This window comes from Homo sapiens, chromosome 5 (assembly GCF_000001405.40).
Source record: "Homo sapiens chromosome 5, GRCh38.p14 Primary Assembly".
NCBI lineage: Eukaryota > Metazoa > Chordata > Mammalia > Primates > Hominidae > Homo > Homo sapiens.
This window is the reverse complement of record NC_000005.10, coordinates 104402287-104410868: the sequence shown is the minus strand read 5'-3', so window position 1 is coordinate 104410868 and position 8582 is coordinate 104402287. Positions and strand designations below refer to the sequence as shown.

General features: G+C 32.2%; 2 annotated features.

The window, feature by feature from the left end:
• Positions 5710 to 6209: an enhancer, noted in NCBI's record as "H3K4me1 hESC enhancer chr5:103740361-103740860 (GRCh37/hg19 assembly coordinates)". NCBI's record gives its function as "activates a minimal SCP1, AML or CMV promoter by ChIP-STARR-seq in naive H9 embryonic stem cells {active_cell/tissue: H9 hESC(naive)}" and the evidence as "EXISTENCE:reporter gene assay evidence [ECO:0000049][PMID:30033119]".
• Positions 6210 to 6711: an enhancer, noted in NCBI's record as "H3K4me1 hESC enhancer chr5:103739859-103740360 (GRCh37/hg19 assembly coordinates)". NCBI's record gives its function as "activates a minimal SCP1, AML or CMV promoter by ChIP-STARR-seq in naive H9 embryonic stem cells {active_cell/tissue: H9 hESC(naive)}" and the evidence as "EXISTENCE:reporter gene assay evidence [ECO:0000049][PMID:30033119]".

Here is an 8582-nt window from a genome sequence, read left to right as displayed (position 1 = left end):
GTTCCCAGATTCTCAGTGTGTTTGTTTATTCTGTTTGAGGTGCCGTGTGTGTGACCTTCTATGATCTGTGCATTTGCAGATGCATTATACCACAAAAGGTAGGTTTTTCACTATTTTAAAAAAAATCTTTGGCTTATTTTTCAGTTATTTTTATCAGTCCCACTTTTCTCTTTTCTTCTTGTGATATTCATTCGTACATGTGTTAAACTAAGAGATATTGCCCCACAGGTCAATAAAGCTCTGTTTAATATTTTTCTTTAATGTTTTATGTCCTATTAATCTGTCTTCAAGTTCACCGATTTCTTTTTTTAGTCCACAATCTTTTGCTAAGGATCTTCTGTGATTCTTTTTAAACATTTTGATATTGTACTAATCAACTATAGAATTTTTATTTGTTTCTTATTTAATGTTTCTAGTTCTATGAGATTTTTTCATCTGATCATTCACTATGCCTACCTTTTCTTATTTACTTGATTATATTTAAAACAGGCATTTTAAAGTTCTTGTCTTCTTATTCTAACTTACAAGTCATGACAGAATTGGCTTTTATTGACTTTTATTTCTCTTGTTTAAGGATAATATTTTATTTATTTCTTCACATGTCAAGTAGATTTTAATTGCATACTAGACATTGTTGATGATACATTACAGATAATGTTTTTATTACCTTTTTTTGAAAAGTATTTACTTTTGCTCCAGCAGGAATTGAATTTGAACTACCAGTAGATTTTTCTTTATCCTGTTACTCATCATCATATTATTTTTTTTTTTCTAGAGCAAGTCTACTGCATGCAGTCTTGCTTAGTTCTCTGCAGTTCTGCTTAGTTCTGTGATATTGCCTTTACTCTATAGCATGTTGCTTATTTTTAAAGTTCTGGTCTCAGCCAAATGCTCTCTTATTCAGAACATGGTAGGCGGCCTAAAATTCCAACTTCTTTCAGCAACATGTTACCTCAGGAATCTTGATGTATTTTTTATCCCAGCAACACCTACTCTCTCCTCAACCTTGCAGAGAGCCTCACCCTGTGAACAAACACTGCAGACATTAATCATGAACTTATGTGGAAGCCCTTCTTGAATTTTTATCTAACCTAACTTCCTCAGCAACTCTTTTCAGAATTCTGCCTATGAGTTTCAGCTGCTTCAGTTTCCGGGGAATCCTCTCTATGCCTACTAACATCAGAGAGATCATCACATTCTCTTGGGCTTCTCTTCCAGGGGCCACAGTCAGAAAAGTGCTCCCAGGCACAAAGCTGGGTAAAAAATCTCACATATTTCCCTTATATAAAGAATTACAGTCCTATATTGACTCTTGTCCAATGCATAAGAAAGGGTAGCTACATATATTTTGTCTACTTCTGCAGTATTTTAAAAAATTTTGAGTGGCTAAGTCTTGTATCAGTTATTCTATTTTAGGCAAAGGTGAACTATGTTTTTGAGTTTTAAAAAACGGCTCTAATTAAATATCTCACCTGCTCCTTAGGAAAATTTTCAAAGGAGTTAAGACAGGTTTCCTTCCCTAATATACCTCTACTTCAAGACTAAAAAATGGAGAGGCTATTAGAGTTGTTTTAGATATAGTATTCAAATACATATAAAATTCTTACATTTCTTAAAATTCTTAAATTTTAATCCATAACTTTTTTCATATCTTCATTTGCTTTATCTAGTACACCGTAGTGTTCTCTACGTGTGCAACACACTGTCATCTACAAATCATAATGTTAACGTTTTCATCAAAAATGATTTTAAACATTCAATTGCTGAACTTTTTACTTAATCTTCTTACTTTCTTCTAAATGTGTATATAATTAAGGCATCCTTAAAATGCTGGCTTTCTCACTATCACTTTTTTAACTTTTCCATTTTTTAAGTCTCTGACAGAAACAATAATTATTGAACCACACAGTACAGGCAGAGATGCTTATTTCTTTTTAAACAACTCTTACAGTGAAATAAAATAAAATACCTATATTAGTGTTATAATAAAAATGTGAAATTATTGAAAAGGTAAATCTTCATGTTTGTGTATGAAATTTGAGATGATGACCATATACTTTGCTTATTTTTTCTTAGTAAGTTGTTTTCTGTCTTTATTATTTTCATGAACTGCTCCTTCTTTTATTTTATCCCTCCAGCTATTAGCAACCTAAGACATTATAAATCGTTATAGTTATTTTATTTTTGTTATTTATTAAGGTAACAGCAAATTTCTTCTGTCACAAAATTCCTCCTCTCTTGCATATTCAGAAAGACTCTTAAATTCCATCACAAACAAAAACAATTTGTCCTTGGTAAAGATTACATTCAATGCAAGTGGTCTGCAAATTGTATCCCAAAAAACTGTAGGGGGTAATTGCAATTTCCCTGCAAGTAAACAAATTCTTCTGTCTCATACCCTAGTTTCTAGGGATTTACCGTCAGTAGGTTTCACAGCATTGAGCTAGAAATACATAATGAAATGGAGGAAATAAAGAACCATTTAACTTATACTGATCAAGGAATAGAATCATATTTTTCTGCACTACTGCTATTTCTCAGCAGGTTACATATGTACAAGCTGATATACATTGCAGATCCCACAGGCTCTTGAAACTTAAAGACCTCAGTGTCCTTGGCCTGCTTATGACTTACAAGAGATATAAATATGGTTTGGGGATTAGGGATAGAGGCATTGCATGTTGCAAATTTTAAATTGTCAATTAAACAGCATCATTGAATTCTGAATAGAACTGCCAAGGGCATGTTCGTCTAAAAAAGGGTGGATTAACACAGACAGTCCCCAATGACATTTAAGATACATATCTGTGATTTAGGACACTTGAGGATGTGTATCTGAACAATGTGACCACATTTAAAGTGCTGAAAGCAATTTTTGTCTTAGTAAACTGAAAAATCCTCAAACAAAGTAAAACTCTCAAGATATACTTAACTTTGTAAACTGTTTGTCAGCAGCATTTGCATTCACTATTCATACATGTGATATTAAGCAGGTACAAAAATACAGGTCCCTTGTCTGTAGTTGTATTGAATATAAAAATAAAAGACTGACTGCCATTTCCGTGCTTCTGTGGCCTGATTGTTTGGTGAAGATGGTTTATTTGCTTTTTTGAGAATAGAGATTAGCAAGTAGAAAAGTATAAACTATTTAGCTGACAAAGATTTTGGAGTGTTTCATGTTTCTACTTACTATTCATACTAATTGTGTTTTCTTTCACAAAGAGATATAATAAATATAAAAATACAAAAAATAACATCTGCAAAATCAAAATCATAATCTGTGAGCTTCTAAAAAAGGCTAAAAGTTTTCCTGTTTTATTCTCTTAGGAACTTCTAATACCATTCTTTCCATGAATTGAAGAAAATTGATAACATTTATTTTTAACAATGTTAATTAAATTTTCACTTGTATTTGTATAATTCAGTGACATCACAATGATATAAATAGTACATACATGATATATGATAATAATATCTATGTCGTGTGCACACACACACATGCACACATATACACACACACACACACCACAATGTGATGAATTATTTGCTCTCTGCAGTGAAAAGCATTAATACATAATTTAAAGTAGTTTTCAAGGAGATTATGAAAATGTAATTCTTAATAAAAATTAGCTTCAATATTTCAAAAATATATTTTTATATTCATGTAAAGAACATTGATTTCTTTATATTCTAATGTCTATGATTTATAATGCCTCATGAAATCAAAATTTTTGGGAAAAGTGTTTTACCTTTATAATGTTGGCATTGATGACAAAACAAGTATGATCTTTTGGGACTGTAACAAAAAGCTAGAGAGGTCACTAAAGAAAGAAAGCAGTGATGATCTTTATTTATAGAACATTAGACTGCATCTTTAGTTTTCCTCATTGAACCACATCCTGGTGTTTACACACTGATAGACACTTGTCTCTGTGACTTTGGCCACATCTTATGACCAGCTTTTACCAATAGAATGCAGCAACATTGACACTCCTCCGGTTTCAGAATAAAAACTTAAGAAAGTCTAGCAGTTTCCACTTTTCTTGAAAGCCAGCCATATTGTAAGAAGTTCAACTACCCTTAGATCACCATGTTGTGAGGAAGCTCAGGCAGCGGCAAGGTGATTTACAAATGGTGGGGAACTAAAGCCCTTTGCTACTAGCACCAACTGAATTCTCAGCCAGAAGCCAGGATCAGTTATCAGTCATGTGAGTGATGACATTTTAGACTTTCCTTTCGTGCCACAGTCTCAGCAGAAATGATGCAATAAAACAGTAGAACTCACTAGTCAATCCAAAAGAACTGTCATAAATAATACATTGTTATTTTAAGCTACTAAATTTTGGATTGGAAAAACTTTAACAATTGTCATAGAGAAAAAATATAGATACAGTTACCATATTAGTTAAAAATTTGCTTCAATTCATTTTAGTTGAAGCATTTAAGTACCAAACACACAGGAATTTTACCAGAAGGCTTCAGGCCTACCAAAACTTTTCTTGATGCCTGAAGCCTTACAAGAGCCAGATAAATCAGGGTCACCTGAGAAAAATGACTGTCGCCTGGGTAGGCTAACAAAACTTTTTTTTTTTTTTTTTGAGACGGAGTCTTGCTTCGTTGCCCAGGCTGGAGAGCAGTGGCGTGATCTTGGCTCACTGCAAGCTCTGCCTCCCAGGTTCATGCCATTCTCCTGCCTCAGCCTCCTGAGTAGCTGGGACTACAGGCGCCCGCCACTACGCCCGGCTAATTTTTTGTATTTTTTTAGTAGAGATGGGGTTTCACCGTGTTAGCCAGGATGGTCTCGATATCCTGATCTCGTGATCCACCCGCCTCGGCCTCCCAGAGTGCTGGGATTACAGGCGTGAGCCACCGCGCCCAGCCACAAAACATTTTTATGCTTACTGTATGAAAGGAACAGCAAGATACAATAAAATGTAATTTTAGAAACAATTTGCTATCCTCCTCTAAATATTCAAAAAATTATTTGCTTATAAAATTCTGCTAGAAATTTTTATTCATAATAATTTTTCAAATGAGAAACAAAAAATCTTGAATTTAAATTTATAATTTCTATATTTAAGTTCAAAACAGTTTTGTCATTCATTCTTAGCCTTCCTCCCAGATCTAGAGCTCAGTACTTATATAACTGCAATAATCTCTCTACCTACACTTCTTCCCATCAACATTCATTTTTGTATATCACTAAGTTAATCTTTATGTAGATAATATCTTATCATGGTATTTTCTTTGCCCAAAGACCTATACTAGCATCCACTTTATCACAGAATAAAATCTAAAATCATGTGTAAATGGTCACATGAGTGATATATAGATTTTTTTTATATATAGTGGTGTAATATATAAGTGTGTATATCTTATGTGTGTCTGAGTGTGTATACATACCTCTATTGCCTTCATAGTCAGTCAATTCAAACCAGAACACTGGGGCTTCTTGCTGTTCTCTGAACGTAAAAGACTCATTTTCACATTTTGTCTTGTCTTTGATTACAACTCATTCTTTAAGTAAAATATCCTCCAACAAGTCATCTTGTTGCTACCTGTCAAAAACATTTTTTTGTACACAGTGGTCTTCAGTTAAGTATCCTTAAAAGAAGGAGGAAAATTAATGTAACCACAGTACATTTAAACTTGATTTTAAAAGTCATCATAAATTCAAATATATGAAAATGATAGAATTTCCAGAATATCGTATGTGTTGCTATTGTCAAATAAAATGTTGAGGTAAGAATTTAAAGAGCATCCAAAGTAATCTAAATATCTATTGATTTTTAAATCCACCCTTACACATTTTAAATATAAATATGTTTCTCCCTAATCATTAGAATTTTGCATCATATTTTACTCATAAATTCATATTTCTGCCTCACTTGTCTCACAATGTATGTTTTCTAATATTATATAGTACATTTTTACTTGAATTATAATTAAAAAATAAAACACAAGGCTTCTACTCTGTCATGAAGAAGTAACTCACAGGAGATTTGTCCTCTCATCATTAAAAAAATAAATAAATGAACACAATTTTAAAAATAACATTGGACAGCCGGGCGCGGTGGCTCACGCCTGTAATCCCAGCACTTTGGGAGGCTGAGGCGGGCGGATCACGAGGTCAGGAGATCGAGACCATCCCGGCTAAAACGGCGAAACCCCGTCTCTACTAAAAATACAAAAAATTAGCCGGGCGTAGTGGCGGGCGCCTGTAGTCCCAGCTCTTGGGAGGCTGAGGCAGGAGAATGGCGTGAGCCCGGGAGGCGGAGCTTGCAGTGAGCCGAGATCCCGCCACTGCACTCCAGCCTGGGCGACAGAGCGAGACTCCGTCTCAAAAAAAAAAAAAAAAAAAAAAAATAACATTGGACATTGGGTATTACAAGAGTGTAATACCTGGAAAAAGAGAAACAAAGGGATTTTCTAGTAATTTAAAAGTAAAAATAATAAAAAGTCACCTATATGATGTCTACAATTAAATGCACTTATTATTTAAATTAAAATTTAGACTTTACAAATGGAAGAAAAAATTGTTTAAACCCTGATTATGAGACATCCAAACTCACCATGTTATTGTAAGACAAAGTGGCAGTTATGATATAGTACTAAGATAAAGGAGTGTTTAGTGATGAAATAACTAGTTTCAAAAGTATACTCTTAAAATATGTAAAAATACAAAATATGTGTATACAAAACAATAAAGCAAAATATAAGAAGAAAAACTCGAGACCACTTTCAGGAGAAATGGAAAAATCCATAATAATTGTTGAACAATTCAAAATTAATCAGTAGAAGTACACCAATAACTAATAAACATATAGAAGACCTAGACAACACTATCAACGATTTGACCTACTTGACATTTGTAGAACATCATAGCTAACAACAGAATTCACAGTCTATTCAATTGCCTATGGAACATTTACCAAAGTATATTATATTTGGAGTCAGAGAACAAAGTTTGAAATAATACAAAGCATGCTCTCTGATCGAAATGAATACAAATTAAAATCAGAAACAATAATGAATCTAGATTATTCACAAATGTTTAGAAATTAATACCCTTCAAATAATACATTTCATATGAGAAAATCATAAAAAAATTAGGAAACATTTTGCATTAAATGAAAATAAATTCACCAAGATATATTTGTGTAACGCAGCTAAAACAGTGCTTAGAAGACAGTTACAGCTTTAAATATTTATATCTGAAAAGAAAAAAGGTCTAAAATCAATGTCCTAAGCTTCCATCATGAGACTCTAGAATAAGACGATCAAAGTCAATCTAAAGCTAGTAGAAAGAAGGAAATAATAAAGCTGAGGGTATAAGTCAACAAAATGGAAAACAGAAAAGCAATAGAGAAGAAAAAAATGAAACTAAAACAGGTTCATAGTTAAAAAAGCAACAAAATTTATAACATTCTAGCTAGACTGATAAAAAGCAAAATAAAAAGGACAGTATCAAATTTAAGAGAAACCATCACTTCAGATTATTCCGACATTACAGTGTAAAAAGGCTGTATTGTGAATAATTTTGTGGTAATAAATTCAACTACTTACATGAAAACTGCAAATTTCTTGGAAAGCGCAAGTTGTCAAAGTTGTCAAAGAATAAATAAAAAAGCTGAATTGCCCTATATGTTTTACAAAACTTGAGTCTGCAATTCATGATAGTCCCTCAAAGGAAACTTTGAGTCCAGATGGCTTTTTTATTGAAGTCTATCAACACGAAAAAGGACATAGTGCCAAACCTACACAAAATCTTCTGGAAAATAAAGAAGGAACTACCTTTTAGCTCATTTTATGATGTCATTGAAAGAAAAGATAGCTACAGGTCAATATTTTTTAGGAACACAGATGCAAATATCCTTAATGAAATATTAGCAATTTTAATCCAACAATATATAAAAATATCATACATCTTGACTAAGTCAAACTATTATTTCAGCAACTGCAGAAAAAAACATTTCACCAAATTGACCACTCTACCTTGACAAATGCCAAATTTAACAAATAGCATGAAAAGTATATGCAAATCTTACTGACCTATCTATAAATAAGCAGGTGTAATGTAAATTAATTAATTAATATTTTATTTATTGTACTTGAAATTTTCACGTTATTTTCAAAATTAACTTTAACTTTTAGTGAATCTCAAATCAAATTTCATTAGGGGCTGCAGGATGTTATTATAAATATTAATCACTTATAATTATGCTTTAAAATATACTAAAAGTATGAATCATTCATGATTATTTTGAAACCATTGATGGTAAACAACAGTAAATATTTCAACCAAATATAATTATGAACATATATTTATTAAGGCCAAAAGAGAAAATTAAGCTTTTTATGATATATAACCAAATATCAGAAATAAAAAATATCCTAATGTCTCAGATTTAACATAATTTTCAGAAATACCAATAAAGTGCCAGGGTGGCTCAACATATCCCTCTACTAGGAGCTCAAAACTTTATTAAATGAATACTATAATGTAAACTCCTTGAAGACACAAATTGCATCTTTTATAACCTTCTATCTAATTGTAAAACAACGTAAGTACTGAACGATTT